The sequence below is a fragment of the Homo sapiens genome, chromosome 11, assembly GCF_000001405.40.
Source record: "Homo sapiens chromosome 11, GRCh38.p14 Primary Assembly".
Lineage (NCBI taxonomy): Eukaryota > Metazoa > Chordata > Mammalia > Primates > Hominidae > Homo > Homo sapiens.
In genome coordinates, this window is record NC_000011.10 from 93,850,029 (window position 1) to 93,873,898 (window position 23,870).

At 43.2% G+C, this 23,870-nt stretch overlaps 1 protein-coding gene and 1 pseudogene across 2 annotated transcripts in view; both read right to left on the reverse strand.

Annotated features, from left to right (window-relative positions):
* VSTM5 (V-set and transmembrane domain containing 5) overlaps positions 1-590 on the reverse strand; it is a 32,387-nt gene extending 31,797 nt beyond the window's left edge. For both annotated transcript variants that reach the window (XR_001747865.2, NM_001144871.2), the window contains exon 1: positions 384-590. Coding sequence is in view for 1 of the 2 variants with exons in the window: in NM_001144871.2 (NP_001138343.1) it covers positions 384-474 (91 nt within the window). In the remaining variant the exon portion in view is untranslated. The remainder of the gene's footprint in view (positions 1-383) is intronic.
* A 13,377-nt stretch (positions 591-13,967) lies between these two features.
* The window catches only part of LOC101060084 (uncharacterized), a 103,851-nt pseudogene continuing 93,948 nt past the window's right edge, over positions 13,968-23,870 (reverse strand).

Here is a 23,870-nt window from a genome sequence, read left to right on the forward strand (position 1 = left end):
TATTCCAGGAAAAAGAAATAAAAAATGTTGCAGAGGCGGCGGCCACAGGGCTGGGAGCCGGTTATCTCTGGGCCACCTTCCAGCTCTGATAACCGTAGGCCGGGCTCGCCGGGTGGGGCGGGCGCCCCGAAGTGGGCCGGGGCGCCGCGGCCGGTAGCCTCTGCTTTGCCCAGCCCCTCCCGCTACGGTCGGCGCCGGGTCTCCAGGCCTCGCCCAGCCCCACGAGGAAGCGGCGCGGTGCCTGCCAGCCGAGCTCACCGCGCGCCCTCAGCCGGACAAGGTGGGCGAGGGCCAGGGGGGCCGCTGCTAGACCCCGGGGCCCCGCCCGTGCCCCCCTACCCATTCCCGCTCCCCCAGCACCCGGGGCGTCCCCCGGAGCTTACTCTGCAGACAGCGGGCTGCGGCCAGGCAGAGGGCGAAGAGTCCTAGGGAGATGCCTCGGGTCTTCCTCCTCCCGCTGGGCAGAGGCCTCATGGGCGAGCCCGGGGCCTCGCGGGCCGGGGTGTGTGCTGGCCGCACCGCGCTGCAGCTCCTATGCAGCCTTCTCTCTTCCTCCGCCTCTGGCTGCCGCAGGTTCTTTAGGGCCAGATGCAGATGAGCTGGTTGTACTCTGGTTGAACCAGTTCCCAAGGATGGGGGGGCGGGGGGGGGGGGGTGTTGCGCGGGAGAGAATTAATATGGGAAGGAATGGGAATGCACAGACTCAGAGGTAAATAATGGCAAATAATGAGCAGCCTCCTTCCGTTCACACCCATTTTACTGGTATTGATTCAAGGTTCGGCTGGATGCTAGGTGGCAGGAAGGAGGGAAAGTACTAGCTATTGCTTCAGGACAGAGCTAGTCATTGGCATCATGGGCAAAGGGAAGGCTTTTAGGAAAGTGAAATGACAGCCTGGAGTGAGAGGGATGAGGGGAGGGGGTGGGGAGACTCAGGCTGCCCTGATGGGAACCACTGCACAGTGATGATATCCATCCATCTATCCACCCATCAGTCCATCCATCCATCCCTCCATCCATCCAGGAAATGTTCACCAATCGCCTGCTTTATTTGCACAGAGCCTCGCACATGGCAGTCACTCAAATAAACCGGTGGAATGAAGCTAGGCACTGTGTTAAGTGCTGGGGATACAAGGATGTGGGCACCTGTTTAGAAATCCTAGCAAGGGGTGGGGGCTGCAAAAAATGAGCAACCGCTAGGCCGAGGCGGGCGGATCACGAGTTCAGGAGATCGAGACCATCTTGGCTAACACAGTGAAACCCCGTCTCTACTAAAAATACAAAAAAAAAAATTAGCCGGGCGTGGTGGTGGGTGCGTGTAGTCCTAGCTGCTCGGGAGGCTGAGGCAGGAGAATGGCGTGAACCCGGGAGGCAGAGCTTGCAGTGAGCCGAGATAGCGCCACTGCACTGCAGCCTGGGCGACAGAGGGGGACTCCGTCTCAAAAAAAAAAAAAAAAAAAAAAGCAACCGCTGTACAGTGCATATGTCGCTAGGATCAGAGAGGCCCAGCATGCTCTGGGGGCTCAGAGCAAGTGTAATTAGTCTCCAGGAGAGGTCGATGGAGGGGTGGGGCAATCAGTTTTGGTCCAAACTAGTCATGAAATTATATTTCACTTTGTCAAAACTAGAATTTCTAGCCTCACTTGCCACAAGGGGTAGCAGTGTGACCCAGTGCTGGCCAGTGATATTTAAGGGGAAGTCTTTTTGAGGTGTTTCTGGAAAAGTTTTTGCTTTCCTCATAAAAAGGACAGCTAAGGCTGGGACTTCCCCTCCCCCTTTCTTTCTGCCTTGAAAACATTTATTCTGTTCAGATCTGTGGCATGTGTCTTGCATCCATTAAGTTACATAAATGAATGCAAAAACCATCATGCTAAGTAAGGATGGTGGAGCAGGAAGATAGAAAGACCTAGAAGGGCCGGGTGTGATGGCTCACACCTGTGATCCCAGCACTTTGGGAGGCCGAGGCAGGTGGATTGCATGAGCCCAGGAGTTTGAGGCCAGCCTGGACAACATACTGAGACCCCATCTCTACAAAAAAAATATAAAAATTAGCCTGGGCATGGTGGCCCACGTCTGTAGTACTAGCTACTTGGGAGGCTGAGGCAGGAAGATCACTAGAGCCCAGGAGGCAGAGGTTGTAGTAAGCCATGAATGTACCACTGCACTCCAGCCTGGGTGACAGAATGAGACCCTGTTTAAAAAAAAAGATAGGAAGGAAGACATAGAAGACATCGTAATCCACTGTACTTTCCTATCTCCTTCTGGTTTCTAAAGGAGATTTCTTGCCAATTCCGATGTGTTCCTGGTGAGGCCGACACTAGTGTTACCCTGCTGACTGGCTTGGGGTGGGCTTGTCAACCATGCTGTCCATTTGAAGTACCCTCTCTGCCAACCAAAGTATTTGGTTCAAGAATGGGCAGACAGGGCCATCAGCGTCTTCCCTGGAAATGTGTGGCCACTGCTGGCATACTAAAAATGGGATATGAACCTGGGGGTACTGGTGGACCATCTTGTCTGTCATGTGGAGAGGCCCTGGATTAAGAATGAAACCAAGATGAGACAAACTGAGTGGGGAACTGAGGAAAGGGATAAAGGCCTAACTACACGGGTTGGGCTCTGGGATTCTGCATGGTTGGGTTTGCCATTTATCAGCAAATAAATGCCCTCTTTGACTCAGCAAATTTAAGTTGGATTTTTATGATATAAAATTGAGAATGCCCTGCTAAAGCAAGCAGTCTTCTTGACATTTTTCTGTTTTCTTTATTAGATGTAAAAGCCTTCAGGAATTACTTGCATTCATTTGTTTATCCATCAAACATCAAATCTGCCCCCATATCAGGCAATGTGCTAGGCACTGCAGCTCCAAAGATGAATAATAACTCATGATTCCTAGTCTCAAAATACTCACAAACTAGTGGAGACAAAATGATTCAAGTTGGGAAAGGCTTCCAGACACAGAGGTCTCTCCTGCTAAGGCTAAGTTGAGAGGAAACTGGCTGTTCTGCTTACTGCTGTGAACCCTGGAAATCTGAGACAGGTCTCAATTTAGAAAGTTTATTTTGCCAAGATTGAGGATGTGTGTCTGTGACACAGCCTCAGGAGGTCCTGAACACATGTGCCCAAGGTGGTCAGAGCACAGCTTGGTTTTAAACATTTTAGGGAGACATGAGATATCAATCAACATATGCAAGATGAACATCGGTTCTGCCTGGAGAGGCAGGTCAACTTGAAGCAAACGTGGGAAGACTCGATGCAGGAAGGGGTGTTCCAGGTCATAGATGGCTAAGAGACAAATGGTTGCATTCTCTTGAGTTTCTGATTAGCCTCTTCAAAGGAGGTAATCAGATATGCATTTATCTCAGTGAGCAGAGAGATGAATTTGAATAGAATGGGAGGCAGGTTTGCCCTAAGCAGTTCCCAGTTTGACTTTTTCCTTTAATTTAGTGATTTGGGGGCCCCAAGAATTTTTTTCCTTTCACTTTTCCCCCCTTTTCTTTTTAAAAATTTTTTTGAGAAAGCACTTTAGAAGAAACCGAGTCTCTGGGCTCAGATTTCATTGGATCTCTCATGGCTTAGAATGGTTTATTCGTAGACAGGTAGGTGCCAAGTTATTAGGAAAGCTCATTATTAGCATGTTGTGAAGTCTCATGTCCTATGAAGAGAAAATAGGGGGAGGAAGGGAGAAAAGCAGCAAACTAAAAAATAATTCTGAAAAATTGATATAGGCCACATTATACTGTGTAGACAAGGATGAGGCCAGTTTTCCCAAGGGCTTTCATTGGCTCCATCAGTCAAGTTTGATTCCTTAAAGGAAAGCACACCATTCCAGTCAAAGCCTTGGCAAAATAACCAGTTTCTCCAATTTTGTCCTGTTACAAATGAAAACAGATTCTTACTGCACTTATGCAAATAAGTGTATTGTCATGAGTTAATAATGCTCACAAATAGTTTCCAAATTCTTTAGAAATCAAGTAGAGAGAAAACAAATATACTCCACATTTTATTCATAGGAGTATATTTTACTCAATTGTTAAAAGTTGTAAATAGCTTAAAAGTTTTCTTGACTCTGAAAAACAAAAGAAAGGATCAGCAATGTTTCAGTTGAAAAGATTACTTTAGACTTCTATTAGCTTAGTCCATGTAGATAATTTTTGTTATGTTTGGTATTCATGAACATGTTAGCTCTCTATGAGTCCTGAAAGTTTTCCTCTATTCTGATGTCACAATCTTCAAAGTTATCAGAAACCTGTATTCAAGAGCACCTGTTAGAGTCATATAGCCAATAATAAAACCACCTCTTAAGAGGACCAACACAAGACAACAATTGTCTGTGGATGACAAAATGTTTTAGGGCAGCCATAGTCAAAGACACAATTGACAAGTAAATTCGTTACCTCTGTGGCACACAATAATTTAACATAACAGTTATTACTGATAATGTACACTAAGTCATATCAGAATTATAGGAGTTTTCCATAATTTTGTAACACATACCAATAATATATTTAAACAAATACAGCCCAAAGAAAACCAAGCAACATTTCATATTTGACAATCCTTCCTATAGCATTTATATGCCAAATAAATAAGCCATATATGTCATTTTTTGGACTTTAGGGTACCTATTAATAATATCTTACAGGATTAATTAGGTCAGAAAAAGACAGTTTATAATTTGATTTTGGAAAGTTTGTCAAATATCAAAGGTTTAAAACACTTTATAGCACAAAATAGGATTACAGGTCTTGTAAAATAAGTCATTCATTTAACCAAAGTGATAACTCAAGGATTTTTTTAAAAAGGCAAAAACCTTCCTTCTTTGAGAGATAAGACTTAATTTTCCAAATGATAAGACCCAATGCAAACAGCATGAAGCCAATTAATTTTTTCAAAATTTTATAAACAATTATAAAATGTTAGCCTTGATCATAAGATGTAGCTTCCATAAGCCTTTTATAACCTTTATTAAGGAGTTGGTTAATGCTTCAAGAAAACCTTGTTAATCTGACACAGAGGCCCATATGCTAGTCTTGCATCAGTATGTCTTTGACATTAATGGTTAATTTATAGAGAAACTGAATTTATTTTATCTCTTAAAAATCGGCCCTTATAATTTCACACTCTCACCTCTTCTGCAATACACCCTGGGCCTTGAGGAGTTGAATGGCTTTAATTTCTGGTCCTGTGTGTCTCAGGAATGCAGTTTATTTTGATTGGGATCTTTTGGTTTTTTTTTTTAGATGGAATCCCCCTCTTTTGCCCAGGCTGGAGTGCAGTGGTGTAATCCTGGCTCACTGTAACCTCCGCCTCCCAGGTTCAAGTAATTCTCCTGCCTCAGCCTCCTGAGTAGCTGAGATTACAGGAGCCTGCCACCACGCCCAGCTAATTTTTGCATTTGTAGTAGAGACCGGGTTTCGCCATGTTGGCCAGGCTGGTCTTGAACTCCTGATCCACCTTCCTCAGCCTCCCAAAGTGCTGGGATTACAGGCATGAACCCCCACGCCAGCCTTGATTGACATCTTCTATGGGGCCTGAAAATGAGGCTTTAATTGCAGTGTTTAAGATTTAGAAGGACTTTGTGTCCTTTTTAGACCCAGGAGTCAAAGTCCTGTAACTTAATGTCACAAGTACCTTAAAAGCACATACAGAAAAGTACACAGATGTAATAACCTTAATTCAAATTTTTTTTAATCTCAGTTTTTCCCTAAGCAAACCAAAACTCAATAATAATGGCATAGGAATTATTTTGATAAAAAAACATAAAATCTGTTAGGCCAGTTACCAAAAGGCAAAAGAAAAGACCTTCTGTAGTGTACAGAATATTATGTTAGAAGGAAACATTTCCTTTAGATGCTTAAGAAAATATTGTTAGCATCAACGCACAACAAACAGAACTTGAGGAAAAAAACTTACATGAGTTGAAAATGAGTTGAAGGAGAGCATTATTATTTTGAGCCTTTTAAAAGAAAGAAAAAGGTGGCCTTGTTATGTAAATAAAGTCCGTTCAGTAGTCAACGTAAAGAATCTTTGCTTTTTTTTTTTTTTCCTTTTTACTGGCCAAATACGGCCACCACCACACCAACTTTGTGTGTGTGTGTGTGTGTGTGTGTGTGTTTGGGGGGGGGCAGAATTTAGCCACTTTAGAGGCCTTGTTCCCCATAATTTGAAATTTTCCTTCAGATTTGATCAAGTCAGATAGAGTTAATCAGAACCAGTGGGAAAAAGACCAAAACAACAAGAAAAACAGAAACAAACAACAACAACAAAACAAGCAAAACAAATGATGGCACAACATATATGATAACTGAGCACTCTCATGGTAAGGAGAATTTATGACAAATTTGTTGTTAATCTTAACTTTAGCTAAGACAAACCCTAATTCAATTACTTACCTAGGGATTGGTCTCAGACTGAAGACCGCTCTCTACCATTCTAGGAGCAGGAAAAAATACTAATCTTTCATGTTGGAAGCAAGCTCAAGCTCCATAAAGGAGTAACCTGCCTTCCATAATCATGGAAACAGGAAATCTTGCCTTCCTTATTGGAAGCAAATAAAACTCCAAGAAAGAGGAGATGTACAGCAAAACAAACTTTAGATCTCTATCAAATTTTGGGAGATCAGGGATTCTATGGATGTACTCTCAGACCTCAGGAAATTGTCCTCTTGGTTTGAGCCATAAAGTTAGCTTGTGCTGGTACCACACACCGATAGGAGATTTGTCAAAGGTCGGGGCATCTTCATGCAGAATCCCTTCATGGTTACCAAAACATGAATCCTGGAAATCTGAGACAGGTTTCAGTTAATTTAGAAAGTTCATTTTGCCAAGGTTGAGGATGAATGCCTATGACACAGCCTCAGGAGGTCCTGACGACATGTGCCCAAGGTGGTCAGAGCACTGTTTGGTTTTATACATTCTAGGGAGACATGAGACGTCAATCAACATTTGCAAGATGTACATTGGTTTGGCCTGGAAAGGTGGAACAACTTGAAGCAAAGGCAGGAAGACTCAAAGTGGGGAGGGGGCTTCCTGGTCATAGGTAGATAAGAGACAAATAGCTGCATTCTTTTAAGTTTCTGACTAGCCTCTCCAAAGGAGGCAATCAGATGTGCATTTATCTCAGTAAGCAGAGGGGTGACTGAATAGAGTGGGAGGCAGGTTTGCCCTAAGCAGTTCCCAGCTTGACTCTTCTCTAACTTAGTGATTTAAGGGCCCCAAGATTTATTTTTCTTTCACGCTGCCATATACCTGGCACCTGGCATCTGGCACATGGTAGATGCTTAATAACAATTTGTTAAGTGGATATAAGAATGATAAAAATGGAAGTCAGAAATGTAAGTTAGTGAGAAGGAAGATGCTCATGAGATAAAGAGCTGATAAATGTTGGAGTGACTCAGTGATGCTGTGATTTTGTGTCCTGCCTCTGCCTTCTCCAAGCTCTCTGGCTATGGAGAAGTGACATCAAGCCTCTGCACCTTTGAAGTGGTTGGACTGTACCAGAAATTATCTGTCCTGGCTGCACATTAGAAAAAACAAACAAACACACCATGGCTTGGGCCTTGCTCCAGTTCAATTGAATCAGATTTTCTGAGGGTGGGGCTGAGGCATGAGTGTTTTTAGAAAGCTCCCTGAATGATTTTGATGTGCAGCCAGGGTAGAAAACCACTGCTCTAGATTGGAGGCTTCTCACAGTCATGTGTGATGCCTTTTTAGGTCCAAGTTTATTATATCTTTTCTGTAGTATAGGATTTCATAGAGGGGAGGAAGGAGATCACATGGGTCCATTTAAGACATTGTATTTACCATTTTATTCATTCAACAAATATTAATTAAGTGCATACAGGATCTCAGGCACGGCAGGCACTAGCTGGTGGAGTCAGCGGGGGTGAAGGCAGGGAAGAGAGGTGTGAAAAGCAGATTGGGTCTGTATGCTGACTCCTCACAATGCTTGTTTTTTGCTGAAAGGATATAACTCAAGATTCATAATTAGTAGGAAATGTTGGCTCTTCCTTTGCAATCTTTGGCACACGCTGTATCCCTTAGGTATTTTTAACTCTTCTCAATAGTCAGCCATTCTGGAAAAAAACAACACCCACCAGTGTTTGTTTTCTCAAAATCCTAGGATATATTTCTCACTTCTAAGAGAAGTAAATGGTGTCTGTTTATAGTGACCTAGCTTTATGACAGCTGCACATCCCCATGCATTTCTCCTTTTTGAGAACAGTCCTAATTAAAATATACTATTCTGTTGTTCCTGTAAGTACATTTGAATTTGTGAAAATATGCAAAATAGATCACCATATTCAGATGGCTCACAAGTTCTTAGTGCTTTCATCTTTCTTGAAAATATGTTTGTTGTTTATTATGGGATGTGTGTTATGGTGCCAAGCAGGTGGCTGAATTTCAAGGGGAACTTGTGTTGAATGCTACTGTATAGAAGACATACATGCAGTAAGGAAGTTTATACAAACCTTTGTTAAAGTTGTTCCTTTGGGCTTTTATGGTGCTATACAGCATGCTAAGTCTCCAAACTGAGCTGATTTGTATTCCTGACGTCATCCTGGAACCACGTGGAGGCCAAGCCTAGTAAAAGGAAAATGAGTACTAGGTGGTCACTAGTTCCTTCTCTGAACTCTGATGGTACAAAGTGCCTGAACCATGTGGCAGCCCGTGTTTAGTGTCTATAACCAGAAATCATGGTGATTGATGCATGCAAACCTTAGTTCCCCTATAAGGCTGTGAAAGCAAAATATCTTGGTGCCCCCAAATCACTAAGCTAAAGAGAAAAGTCAAGCTGGGAACTGTTTAGGGCAAACCTGCTTCCCATTCTATTCAAAGTCACCCCTCTGCTCACTGAGATAAATGCATATCTTATTGCCTCCTTTGGAGAGGCAAAACAAGCAAACATATAACTTACATGATTACTGAGCACTCTAATGGTAAGAAGAAATTAAGACCGGCTGGTTGTTAATTTTAACTTTAGCCAAGACAAATCCCAATTCAGCTACTTACTTAGGGATGGGTCTCAGGCTGAAGACTGCTCTCTACCATCTTAGGAACAGGAAAAAAAAAATTCATCTTCTCTGTTGAAAATGAGCTCAAACTCCATAAAGATGGAAGTTTACCTACCTTTCATCATCATGGAAGTAGGAAAAACTTGTCTTCCTTGTGTTGGAAGCAAGTAAAACTCCCCCAAAAAAGGGAATTGTACCACAAAGTTAACTTTAGATCTTGACCAAATTTTGGGAGATCAGGGACTCTCTGGAGGGGGTGCTTCCAGGCCTCAGCAAATTGTCCTATTGGTTTGAGCCATAAAGATAGCTCAAACTAGTACCAAGCACCAATATATTTGTCAAAGGTCAGGGGCACCTCCACTCAGAATCCCTTTGTGGTTACCAGCATGTGAACCCCCCAAATCTGAGACAGGTTTTGGTAAATTTGGAAAGTTTATTTTGCCATGGTTAAGGATGTGTGCCCATGACACAGCCTCAGGGGGTCCTGATGACATGTGCTAAAAGCTAACATCCAAGATGCGTGTGTGTTTAAAGGCCTTTGTGTTTTTATTTTTTTTTCTCTCCTAGGACCTTAAGCAAAAGTTTGTTTTTTCTCAGTTGGCTGCATTCTGTTTTCTTCATTTACTTCTGCTGTCTCTCCTTTCTCTTGCACCCTCTGCTGCATGATGGACCTAAACTAGTTTATAAAAGACTGGGGTTTCTTAAAGAAAATGGAGAAGGTGCCAAACTCCCTTTGGGAAAGAAACCTGTTTTTCCTTATGGAACCCAAAGAGTATAAGCAGACAAGTGTGTCTCAGCTTTTAAACTGTTTCCTTTTGTATTGTGTTACCTGATCTACTGAATAAAATAGTTATTGCAACAGAGGCTACTCTTGGGTTCTTAAAGAAGAGTGCGGTTTAGACACTTAGAAATGTCTTTGTTTTAAGAAAGATTTTTTCTAAGTCCACTGTAAAAACATCACATGGTCTAGCTTCATAATAATTCTTCCTTTTTGGAAACCCCGGATTCAGTGTGGGCTCTCCCCAGAGCTCAGAGATCCAGTTAAAAGACAGGTAGTCCCTATCTAAATAAAATTGGTCTCCTTATACAATCCTGATAGGTATTTATAATTTTATGTTTGATTTGGCATCCATCTTTAATCTTCCTCTAGCATACCAGAATTTTTCTCTCCATACCTTATGATGTAAATTTTGCTATTTGATTTTCACCAGAGTTGTTTTCTTTAATGTGCAAATTTAAAGCTATTTAGCTGACACTTGCCTAGGGTTATGAAATAGGTTATCAAGTATCTGAAAGTCTAAGATAGGGGAAAAAAAGGTTTTTATACATCTTTAAGATGTACTTCTATCAGCATATCTAATATGTCTATGTATTTATGTGTGGTGCACACAATGTCTCACTACTGAAAATATATAAAAGAGCTCTAATTAATTGGCTTAAAGAAAAATAAAAGCACTTAATTCAAATACTTTATCAGAAAAATGAAAGAATAGCCAAATGTTTTGTCAAGATTACATGACTTAAGTAAAATCTTTAATAAATAAGCTAGCTTTAAAATTATTGGTAAAGTAATATTAGAAATGCCTTAAGAATTACCAGCATACATTTCTGTTTGCATTTATTGATCAAGCAATTTCATACTTATCCCTGCCAAATACTATAAGGTGTCAAGATTTGGCATAGAGTTTACAAAATCCAAAAGACTTTAAACAGAAAAGGGGGGAAATGTGAAATGAAAATATTTTGGGGTCCCCAAATCACTAAGTTAAAGGGAAAAATCAAGCCGGGAACTTCTTAGGGCAGACCTGCCTCCCATTCTATTCAAAGTCACCCCTCTGCTCACTGAGATAAATACATACCTGATTGCCTCCTTTGGAGAGGTTAATCTGAAACTCCAAAGAATGCAACAATTTGACTCTTAACTACCTATGACCTGGAAGTCCCCTCCCCACTTCAAATTATCCTGCCTTTTCCAGACCGAACCAATATTAATTTTACATATGTTGATTGATGTTTTGTCTTTCTAAAGTGTATGAAACCAACCTGTGCTCTGACCACCTTAGGCACATGTCATCAGGACCTCCTGAGTCTGTGTCACAGGTGCGCGTCCTCAGCCTTGGCAAAATAAACTTTCTAAATTAACTGAGACCTGTCACATTTCTGTATTTTGATATTGGGGGTAGTTTCATGGGTATACATTATGAAAATAAGTAATTCAAAATCTAAGCTGTTGGAATTCTAAACTATTTTGAGCCTTAAAGGAATGTGAATTTCAGGGCCTGAGTCACATGACAGGCAGCTATAACCTAGAAAGTTGTAAACCTTAGTATCTCTGACTATACAGAATCTTTTTCCTTACCTGCATTATTTTGTAAAATGCTGCAAATGGCTAAAGGGCACCAGGGAAGACCCCTTCCCTCTCCACTGTTGACTTTTATTATAGATTAACCTCTCTCTTACCTTTCACACAAATATTTCATGATTGTCACATTGCCTTAAAATGGAATGTTATTCAACTCCTGGGTGATGGGTTCAATCAATTATACTTCAAATCTAGGCATCATGCAATATACTTTTGTAACAAACCTGCACATGTAACTCCTTAATCTAAAATAAAAGTTAAAAAAAGAGGCACACCCGCAAAATCATTCATTAAAACTTGGGGGAAAAGATGGAATGTGAAATGTGCTTTTTTTCATTGGAAAGTGCAAGGCTCTTATATTGGTTCAAACCCAGAGAACACGCCAACAAACACAAGGCGGTGTGGAGCAACATGCTGTTTTAATGAGCACCCGGGTGCAGACAGGCTGAGGCCTAAAATGGCATCAGCCCCCAAAGTGAGGATGGGGCAGGGGTTTTATAGTCTCCTGTAAACAGGAAGTGTCCCAATCTGATGTAACTGCTATGTGGTACCCAGATGGCCTCTCTCTCTTGATCTCCAGAGGGAACGTGTCTTCCAGCCAGCTCTCTTCCTGCTTCTGCTATCTTGCTGACACACGCTGCAGGCACAAGGCCACTTGGGACTAGGCCTGAGGAGGGAGGAGTTATTCAGCCTCCCAAGCTTTCAGGCCCCCAGGAGAATCTTTCCTTCCTGTGTGTTTGGTTATAGAAAAGGGAAAAGGGATGACTTTCTCAATGGCACCTCGAAAAAAAGAAAAATATAATTTTTGGGGTATTCTTGAGAGACGGGTTGGTATCCATCGTGTCATTTGTAGCAGGAGCATCGTCTGTATTGTCTGGTGGTTAACTGTAGTTTCAACAAGAGTTTTAATGGCTTTTGTCATCAGTGGGATAATACAGCAGAGAAACAGGAGAAACCCAATGGTGAAGATTCCTGTCCCTACCAGAGTTTTAAATCCTCCTCAATTAGAGAGCCACGCCCTAGAAGGTTCGTTGGGTCTCATCCCTTCCAGATTTGGACTGGTACATGGCTTACTTTTCTGATGTTTGAAGTGATCTCTAGAACTGCTTTTTTGTTATTGTCTGTGTTAAGACAACAATTAGAGATATTAAACTTACCACAGACCCCACCCTCTTCTGCTAATAAGTAGTCTAGTGCTAGCATGTTTTGATAAATTGCCACATGCATTTGGTTTTGTTGTTGCGCGAGCATTTCCAGAGCTGAGGCGGTTTGGTTAGTGATTATCTCTAGAACAGCCTATAGTCTAATTATTCTATTTAGCATATATATAGGAGTGCAATAACCCCATGAACCATCCTCAGCCCAAGTGGCAGGGCTGTAATATTCAATGATCCATTGTGGAAGCCATTTGTCCTCTTGCCATCTTTGGCTTCCTTCTACCTTTAAGGATCATTTTTCTCTGTTTAGGTTATCATATACATGGACTCCAAGGGTGTTGCCCACCTGCTTTGGAAGTAAAAAGAATCCAGGTTTAATTGTGCATAGGAAACAAGTACTTTGCCAGTGATAAGGTAGTCATGAGTAAGCCTGGGTTCCACACATCCAAAAGAATCCATCAGGGGCAATCCATTGTAGGCTAGTGTTCATAGGATTGTCCCATAGTGCACTTAGGTGGGGGTATGTGGCATAAGGGTTAGTGGTGTTTGTACAGTACCAGGCCTTTTTGGACAAGACACAATCGAGGTAGCTTAAGTTAGAAGAAGACCAGGCTCTGTGGGGTAACGTTGGCCACCACTCTGCTGTGGAGGCATTGACTGTTAGGGTTTGGTGACAGGGGCTTTCACCTGTGGTGCGATGGGTTTCATCAGTCCGCTTGTGGGATATGCACACTGTCCTTCTTACTGGGTTGGTAAATGTCCAGGACTGCGGGCGTTCCTGAGGAGTGAAAGTGAGGCTGGGGTTTTGGGATGTTAGTAAGTAAGGGGGAAAGTCTATCCCATACCACGGCCACTGTTAACTCATATGAGCTCCCCCACATACCCAGCAATTGAACACATTCATGGTAAGCACGATGCATTCTCCTAGATCTACAAACAGGTTTTTTCCTGGCTTGGGAAGGGAAATACCATGGGTGATTTGGGGGGAAGGAGTTGTTGGTTTTGGCTTTTGCTTTGGCTGTAATCTGTTCTCTTTATGTCCTCTAGCACTTGATTGTTTACTCCCCATTTTTGTCCAATTTTGGTGAAGCAAAGCCACTGCTTACCTTTTGGACATATAGCCCCATCACAGCTGCCAGATACTCCTAGATTTTTTACTTTATAATAACTTTTCCCTGATTCAACACATTCCTCGATTAAGGTTCCATAACAGGATTTTTCTATACGAGTATGGTAAATAAAGGACTGTTGCATTTTTCTTCTGTAGTGGAAAGACTGATAACACTCACGGCAGCTCAGAGGGGCTGCTGTGGACAGCAGGGCAGCTACTGACAATATTAGCATTGTGGTGAGGGATATTCCTGTATTAAGACTTTTGGTTGTAAGTGAGGTACAGCAGGCAGTTGGGTAGATACAGGCCATTTCTAAAAGCAGGTGGTTAGTCTTCCCTGTGTTTTGGTTCTAAGAAAAATTTTTTTTGGTTAATTTAAGCTTGGTAGAAGAAATTGGCCTAGACAAACACTTAGCTGTTAATGTTTCAGAGGAAGAAGTAGCCTTGGGGGTGAGTTTGACCCTGGTGCGATGGATCCAGTCGGGGAGTCCTTGGACTCTCACTGCAGTTGGCATGCTGAGTAGCACAGTGTAGGGGCCTGTCCACTTCGGTTGTAGTTTTTTGTGGGGTCAGGTTGGCAGATAAACACATCTGTGCCTGCAAGACAGTTGAGAGGACAAGGAGGTGTCAATAGGGAGAGGCATGGCCTCATTTGCTGCTTCACGAATGAAAGACCGTGTCTGGATTAAGGATGGGAGGTAATTCCTGAGTGGCTCAGAATCTGGTAAGGGTGGAGGCCCTAAGACAAAAGTTCATCCGTACACCATTTCAAAGTGACTATAAAAAGAGGGTGCCTTTGTTGTTGCGCAGAGTCTCATGACGGCAAAAGGGAGATTTTTTGTCCATGACTGGTGGGTTACTAGAGCCAGCTTGGTGAGTTGGGCTTTAAGGACAGAGCTGACTTTTTCAACTTTGCCTGAAGATTGAGGCTTGTAGGGTGTGTGGAAAACCCATTTTATTCCCAAGGATGTAGAGATGCCTTGGGTAATTTGGCTGTTAAACGCAGGCCTGTTATCAGACTGGATGGATGTTGGGAGTCCAAAATGGGGAATTATATACATGATGAGAGTTTGTGTGATGACATTTGCAGCTTCTGAAGTTGTTGGGAACACTTCTACCCACCCGGAGACTACCCTCTCAGACAAAAACTAGAAGATAGGGGAGCTATTTATCGGGTGGCATGTGAGTGAAGTCTACTTGCCAATCTTGCCCAGGTACCTGGCCTTGGGCTTGGTGGGTAGGAAGAGGCGGTGGCTGGAGGGAACCCTGGGGTGACATTGAGTGGCAGATAGAGCAGGATTGGGTAATTTCTCGAACATGGCTGGAAAGGTGAGGACAAGTGAAAATGGGTGGAGAAGTTGCAAGAGAGGTTTGTAATCGACATGGAAAGAGTTGTGAAAGCTTTGGAGGATAGGGATTGTTTGAGAATGAGGAAGAACGAAGCACCCTTCCTTGACATACCATGGTCCTTGCTTTTGAAGGTTTTGGGCTTGAAGTCCTCCTTTTCTTCTGAGGAGTAAAGAGGAGAGAACAAAGACAGGGACGGAAACTGGCCTTGCACAGGTTGCAGGGCTACTTGTTTGGCTACCTGATCTGCTAGAGCATTTCCAGCCGATATAGGATTGTCTGGGGCTTGGTGGCCCCTGCAATGAATGATGGCAACTTTCTGTGGCAGTCTGGCAGCTTGAAGGAACTTGCTGATGAGAGAGCCATTTATGACAGGGGTGTTTTTTGCAGTTACGAAACCCTGTTCTTTCCAGATGGATGAGTGTGAGTGCACTATGTGGAACGCATAACGAGAATCTGAATATATGTTAATTTGTTGTCCGGCTGCTAGAGTGAGTGCTCAAGTGAGGGTGATGAGTTCAGCTTTTTGGGAGGTGGTTCCTAGGGGGAGCGGATTGGCTTCAATAGTGTGTGTGTGGGGTGACACTATAGCATAGCCAGCATGTCAGCGTCCTTGATGTAGGAAGGAGCTGCCATCTACAAACCAAGTAAATGAGGCATTTGGAAGGGGTTAGTCTTTTAGGTTTGGAAAAGGTATAAGAAAGGTTTGAACAGTGTCTACATAGAAGTGTGCAGGGTCTTGGGAGGTAATAGCTTCAAGTAAGAGCATGGCTGGGTTTAAACAGGAGCTGGTTAGCATGGTGATTTGGGGAGTTTCTATGAATAAAGCATACAGTTGGAGGAGCAGTGAGGCAGAGATGAGACTTAGTACACTGTGGTGAGCTAGCATGTCTTTGATGTTATGGGTTGAATAAACTGTTAGGTTGGCATGAAGAGATAGTTTTAGGCTTTCAAGGGTGAAGACAGCAGCTGCCACCAGCACTTGGAGGCAGGCAGGCCATCTGAGAACTGTGGTTTCAAGCTGTTTGGAGAGGTAGGCAATAACCTGGAGGGTGGGTCCTTTGGACTGGGTTAGAACACCTAGTGCAACTCCATGCCATTTGTCGGTACACAGGGAGAAAGTTTTGGTGAGGTCTGGGAGGGTGAGGATGGGGGCTGAGATGAGAGCCTTTTGGAGTAGACAGAAAGGTTGGGTAATAGGCTGTGCTGGTTTTAAAGGCTCATGGAGAGGGCCTTTAGCAGCTTGGTATAAAGGTTTGGCAAGTAGAGCGAAGGAGGGAACCCAGAGCCTAAAATGTCCCACTAGTCCTAGAAAAGAGAGAATTTCTTGCTTAGTTTGTGGAGGTGGGAGGGACTGGAGGAGGGATATGTGGTCGGTTGTGAGCCCTCGGGTTTGCAGGGTAAGGGCTAGGCCTAGGTAGGTGACTGAGGGGGTGCATATTTTTGCTTTTTAAGGGGAGATCTGATGCCTCTGCTCTGTCAGGAAGTTTAAAAGAGAGATAGTATGGGCATTCCAGTCTTTTTGAGAGGGGCTACACAGGAGCAGATCATCAACATAGCGAAGGAGAATGGATGGTTTTAGGGATAAGGTACAGAGGTCACAAGCAAGGGCATGTCCAAAAAGGTGGGGTTGTCTCTAAAACCTTGAGGTATTACACACCAGGTGAGCTGATGTGAAAGGTGAGTGTTGGGGTCTTCCCATGTAAAGGCAAAGAGGTCTTGAGAATCAGGGTGCAAAGGAATAGTGAAAAAAGCATCCTTTAGGTCTAGGACAGAAAAATGGGTGGTATTGGAGGGAATTGCAGAAAGTAAAGTGTATGGGTTAGGAACTACTGGACATACTGGGAGTACAGCTTGGTTAATGAGCCTGAGGTCCTAGACTAAGCAACAAGTTCCATCTGGCTTAACAGGTAGAAATGGTGTGTTAAAAGAGGAGTTTGTTGGATGGAGTAGGTGACTGGTGAGGAGGCAAGAAATGATAGGCTTTAGGCCTATAAGAGTTGCTTGGGGGATTGGATACTGCTTCTGTGATAGGAACTGGGTGGGGTTTTTAAGGGTAATGTGGACAGGGGTGTGGTGTTTCATGACTGAGGGTGTGGAAGTATCCAAAACAGCAGGGTTAACTATGGATGGGGGATTAGGAAAGGCTGCATGTTTTAGGGTGGGAGGTTGGAGGAGTAGAAGAAAGCTAGAAGCACTGGAGGGGTCTGGGTGGAGGTGTTGGTACCATGGGGAACATGGACATGGAGAGTAGTGTGGAGTTTTGAAAGGATGTCTCTGCCTAGGAGCAGAGTTGGGCATGAGAGCAGGACTAAGAAAGAATGAGTGAAGGAAAAGGTGTAAAGGGAGCAGAAGAGTGGAGGGGTGGCTCAGGGTTTGGAGACTTGTCTATCAATTCCCACAACAGAGACTTGGGAGGACTAGGTGGGTCCTGAAAATTAGGTAAAGCAGAGTAGCTTGCCTCGGTATCAATTAAAAAACATACTGGCCTACTTGCCACCATCAGGGTTACCCTTGGCTCAGATGAAGAGATAGTAGTTGCCAGGGTGTCCAATCCAGGGCATCATCAGTATTCAGTGGCAAGGCCAATGAGATCCAAGTAGGAGGTTTTGGCTGGCTCAGGAAGGGATGGGGGTAGTCCTTCCAGAGGCCACTCACAGTCTGACTTCCAGTGGGGTCCTCCACAGAAGGGGCATGGCCTGATGTGCTTACCTGTGTTTGGGCATTGTCTGGACCAGTGGCCTTCATTGCCATACTTGAAACAGGTGCCAGGTGGAGGTGGATTACTAGGAGGCGTCCATGTGGAGCTGTGGCCCTGTGGGTGTGCAGGGCCATGATTGCAGAGGCCAGCATTTGAAATTCTGCCTGTTTTTGCCTTTTATCTTCCTCATCACGATTGTTAAAGACTTTGAAGGCTAAATTAAGAAGGTCTTATTGTGGGGTTTGAGGGCCGTCGTCAAGCTTCTGAAGCTTGTGCTGGATATCAGGGGTGGATTGAGAGATGAACCGAAGGTTTAAAATAGTGGTTCCTTCTGGGCTGGCTGGGTCTAGGTTGGTATGTTTTCTCATGGCTTCAGTTAAACAAGAGAGGAAAAGGGCTGGGCTTTCATCAGGACCGTAGGTGATTTCTGAAAGTTTTTCATAGTTTACCGCTTTATGGGCACCCTTTTTGAGTCCTGCAAGGAGACACACAGTCATGTTGTCTCGATGGTGGTGCCCAGGGGCCCCATCTTGATAATCCCAATGGGGGTCCTGGTTGCAGACTGCCTCTATGCCAGTAGGCTGGGTAGGAGCCTGGTGATGAATTTTATCAGCATGCACCTGAGCTAGGGTCCAGATACAGTCCTGGTCTTCTGGGGTGAGGGTGGAAGAGAGGATAATGTAGAGGTCATGCCAAATTAGTTCATAAGAGTGGGTGAGGTACTGAAACTCTAATATAAGAGGTAGGGTCTTCTGGAAATGAACTGAGTCTTTTGTTAATTTGAGAGAGATCAGTGAGGGAGAATGGAACATGAACTCTAATAATACCTTCAGTTCCTGCTACTTCCTGAAGGGGGCACTCTAGCACATGTGCTGAAGTAAGGGTGGGGCATGGGCCAAAGATGGCACCTGAGCGAGTGTGGGTGGGAGAAAAGGAAGAACCTGGAAGTGGTTCCTGTTGAGGGTTTGAAGGGGAAGGGGGGTTGAGTTAATAGGCAGTGGAGGATAGATAGGGGCATAAGGTGGTGGGATGCGTTTATAGGCCTCAGGAGAGGGTGGTGGGGGAGGAGAATGGGTACAGGCAGTGCTAGAATTGTTCTGAGGAGAGGATGGTGTAGGAAGAGAAGTGCATACTCCTGGAGGGGGTGCTGGCTGGGAAGATGATGGCTGGGAAGGTGGTGACTGATAAGATGGCAGCTGGGAAGATGGCGGCTGGGAAGATGTCAGCTGGGAAGACAAAGAGAAGGCTTGGGGGGTTAAAGAAGATGGTTGAGAGGGAGAGGTAGGGGCTGGGAGGGGTGGACAGCAGTCTGCTGGATCGAACAAGGAAAAAGGGGTAGGGTCAGGAGGAGAAGGCAATCAGGGTGGTGAGAATGGAGGAGCAGGATTTGAACAGGTGAGCAAGAATTGCAGAGGTTTGGTTGTGATCTGAGTGCGAAAAAGGCCTGGACATAAGGAATTTCTCCCCATTTTTCCAGTCGTTGGCAATAATTGCTTAAGTCAGTTAAAACTGTAAAGTCGAATGTTCCATTTGCGGGCCATTTGGACCCATTATCCAATTCGTACTGTGGCCAGACTGAATTGCAAAAAAAAGACAAGATGCTTAGGGTGGATACCTTGCCTGAGGCCTAAGGTTTGCAGGGTTTTTTTATGATACAGCCTAGCAGGCTGTCCTTTGGAATGGAAGACAGGGAATTTCCCATAACGGAGGGTAGGCTTGGGAGAACAGGGAAAAGGAGACTGTCCTGGATGGCCAGAGGGAGATGATAAAAGGAGCAGTCATCACCGCTGCCTTTTTTGTTCCCAGAATGGGATCAAATGGCTTGGAGGTGTCCCCCTAAGACCAGATTATCAGCAAGTGCCTGGCACATGCTGGAACCTTCTTGGACCAACGTTGGATTTTTGTACTGGAGAAACCAAGAGAGGCTATGCAGGTTTCTGTTAACCAGGCTCGCAGGATACTTACCAGTAGGCAATATCAGTGACCGATGTGCGTGCACAGAGAGGCGACTGGAGGCTGAGGACCTTCCTTTGTCCAACTGCTGTGGCCTGCTCTCCAGGGTGGAGGAGTAGGTCCACAGGGGATGTGGACTGGAGCCCGTCCCAGGTTTTGGCAACAGATGCAAAGCTCTTGTATTGGTTCGAACCCCGAGAACATGCCAACAAACAACACAAGGCATTGTGGAGCAACACGCTGTTTTAATGAGCACCTGGGTGCAGATGGGCTGAGGCCTAAAATGGTGTCAGCCCCAAGTGAGGATGAGGCAGGCGTTTTATATTCTCCTGTAAACAGGAAGTGTCCTAGTCTGATGTAACTGCTACGTGGTACCCGGACAGCCTCTCTCTCTTGATCTCCAGGGGATCCATGCCTTCTGGCCATCTCTCTTCCTGCTTCTGCTATCTTTCTGATGCACGCTGCTGGTGCAAGTGGCCTTGTGCATTGGGACTGGGCCTGAGGAGGGAGGAATTATTCATCCCCCAGACTTTCAGGACCCAGGGAGAACCTTTCAGAAAGGAAATGAAAACCAGCTATACAGAAAACAATTGATTATAACTCATAAACGAGCCTTGTGTAGAAAATGCTATAATCTTGTTAAATTTATTTGCTTTCTGCCTATATGAGCAAGAATTTGGCTTTTAGCTTTGGAGCACTGACCCATTTCTCTGGAATTTCTGCATCCCAGAATGGCTATTCCCAGCTTTTTGCTTGAATAAACACTTTAATAAAACTGGATTCTGACCCTTTTGATTATTCCAGGTTGACAATGTATATAACGAAACTCATCAAATTGTACACTCTAAATGGGTGCAGCTCACTTCACATAAATGAAACTTCAGTAAAGTTGACTTTAAAACCTGGGATGACAACTGTTAATGTGAGTGGGACAGGGCTACTTTAATCCTCTCGAACAGGATGAAATTTGTGCTGAGAACTAAATGATGAAAAGAATGTTCAAGTTGTAAGAAACAAAACAGTTCTAGCCCAAGAACACTCAAATATTTTCAATCCATGGAGAACAATGGGCAGGAAGCATCTGGCCCCTGATACAGTCAATGAGGAGGTACAATGCCTAAGGAGGACTTAACATCAAGAATAGACACCCCTAAAAGCTGTTATCATCGCCGTGCACTGGCAGTGCTAGACAGTGTCAGTGATAAAATACTCTTCCCTGTTGGAGCAGAGAGCTTTTATACCAATGTTTCCAGTCATGGTCCACAGCATCAGAAATTTTTGCACAGCACATGGGCCATATTAATTTTTCTTGAGTACAGTGATAAATTACAGTTTTTGAATGTGACTTACAAGATTTTATCAACCCTATTTCTCTTGGGCAGTACTCCTTCATAACTTTTTTGTTAACTTTTATTGAAATTAGTCTTGAACAGCTCAATTCCCATCTTGTGCATGAAATTCCCAGCTCATCCAGGGACCTGATGGTAATGCCAGGCCCTGATGCCCAACTAGCTCACAGTGCCAGATAAATCAGGAAAACTGTCTTTCTCATTTTTATGTTTGACTGAGAAATCTCTTGCTGACCATATTCTCAGGTAGGCATATGACATTGTCCCCAGACCACATATCCAATACCTATCTCTAATTTTTGCCAATAAAGAAACAGACCTAAAGACAGAAAACCTGTCCATAATGGAAAAACTATGATCAAAATTTAGGTTCAAACTTTGGATTCCCCCACAGTGCACCCACTATGCATTTATTGAGCACCTTCTATATAACCTTTTATATAACACAAGAAGAGACAGCCCATAAAAGATGTAAAAGATATGGTTTCTGCTCTTGAGAATTATGCAGTTTTAGAGGCTAAGACTAAAAAGCATGAATAATACTAGGGAAATTTATTCAATGGTTACCAAGCACCTATTATGACAGGCACTGAGCTGGATATTGAGATAACTGAGGTGGATCAAGGGTTTACCATACAACCATCCCACTTCACACCTGTGTCTTATCTAACCCTTACAAAGGTGCTATTAACTGGTAATATTAGAATCCCATTATGCAGATAAGGGAACTGCTGCTAAAGAAATGTTAATAGCTTGCCAAAGGTCACACAACTAGCAAGTGGAAGACCTAGGTTTTTCCTGGGTCTGTCTGACTTCAAAGCCAGAGTAAGACAGACCCAGAGTCTTAATGAATGTGCTCCCCAGCCTCTTCATTATCAAGTAGAGAGGATACAAAGAGAGTAAACCTTGTGAATCCCCCAAATCTGAGACAGGTCTCAGTTAATTTAGAAAGTTTATTTTGCCAAGGTTGAGGGTGTGCACCCATGACACAGCCTCAGGAGGTCCTGGTAACTTGTCCAAAGTGGTAAGAGCACAGTTTAGTTTTATACATTTTAGGGAGACATGAGACATCAGTCAGCATGTGTAAGATGAACATTGGTTCAGTCTGGAAAGCAAGACAACTGAAAGTGAGGAAGGCACTTCCATGTCATAGGTAGATAAGAGACAAATGGTTGCATTCTTCTGGGTTCCTGATTAGCTTCTCCAAAGGAGGCAAGCAAAGATGCATTTATCTCAGTGATCAGATAGGTGACTTTGAATAAAGTGAGAGGCAGGTCTGCCCTAAGCAGTTCCCAGCTTGATTTTTCCCTTTAGCTTAGTGATTTGGGGGCCCCAAGATATTTTCCTTTCACATTTCCTCCCTTTTCTTTTAAAAAATATTTTGGAGACAGGATTTTAGAAGAAAATGAGTCTTTGGTCTCAGGTTTTGTCTGATCTCTCATAGCTAGGATGGTTTATTTCTAGATGGGTGGGTTCCGAATTATTAGGAAAGTTCATCATTAGCAGGTTGTGAAGTCTCATGTCCTGTGAAGAGACAATGGGGGAGGAGAGGAGAAAAACAACAACAAACAAAAACAAAAAAAATCCTGGAGAAACCATATAGACTACATTACTCTGAAGTCCATACATCAGTAGGTGGGTATGAAAGTGGCTTATGTATGTAAACAGGTTGTTGTTATTTTCTTCTGAAATTTAAGTTGTCTAGCTTCAGTTCTCAGGACTTTAAGAAAGCACAGCTTAGTTTTCAGTGACTCCAAATTTGGAAATGCGGCGAAAAAAAGAAGAAAAAAATTGAAAACATTATTTTGAAGACTTGTAGCCAAGAAAAATTAGAATTCAGTCCAAATTGTAGAAAATAATAAAAATAGAAAAACATTAGGAAAGAATAGAATCTAACAACAGGTATACTATAGTTTCTGAAACACAATTTTTCTCTCTCCAGTTTCCCATTTTTACTAAAGGCAAATCATGGTAGGGCTGGTTTGCTTTATTATAGTTGGCCTGATTATTTGTATATAGTACAGCAAGGATAATTATTTTTTACATAGGCTTTTAAATTTGCTTTGATGGAACTTTGTTCTGTAGAAGGAATCTCAGATAAGACTTTTTTAAAGCTGAGCCCAGCCATGGATTTGTACCATCAAATACCTATCAGTTGGGTGAGCCTCTCCTCTTGAAGTTCCAAGATAAAATGTGGGTCTCCTAGGCCTGTCAGAAAGTGACATTCCTTACTTACCACAGGTCAGAACCCTGTACGGGGACTGTGTAGACCAGTATGAGGCCCGTTTTCCCAGGGGTTTTTATTGGCTCCACAAGTCAGGTTTAATTTCTTAAAGGAAAACACACCATTCCAGTCAAAGCATTGGTAAAATAACCAGTTTCTCCAATTGTGTACTGTTATAAATGAATACAGAGTCTTATTACACTTATGCAAATAACTGTATTGTCATAAGTTGAGATACTCACAAATAGTTTCCAAATTATCTAGAAATCAGGTAGAGAGAAAGCAAACATGCTCCAAATTTTGTTCATAGGAATATACTTTACTCAATTGTTAAAATCTGTAAATAGCTTAAAAGAAAAGTTTTCTTGACTCTGAAAAGCAAAACAAAGGATCAGCAATGTTTTAAGCAAAAAGTTAAAAAATTACTTCAGACTTCTATTAGTTTGGTCCATGCAGTTAATTCCTGTTATGCTTGATATTCATCAACCTTTCAGGTCTCCATGAATCCTGAAAGTTTTCCTCTACTCTGATGTCACAATCTCCAAAATTATCAGAAACTTGCATTTAAGAGTACCTGTTAGAGTCTTGTAGCTGACTATAAAACCACCTTCTAAAGAGGTCAAAAACAAGACAGCAATTGTCTGTGGATGACAAAA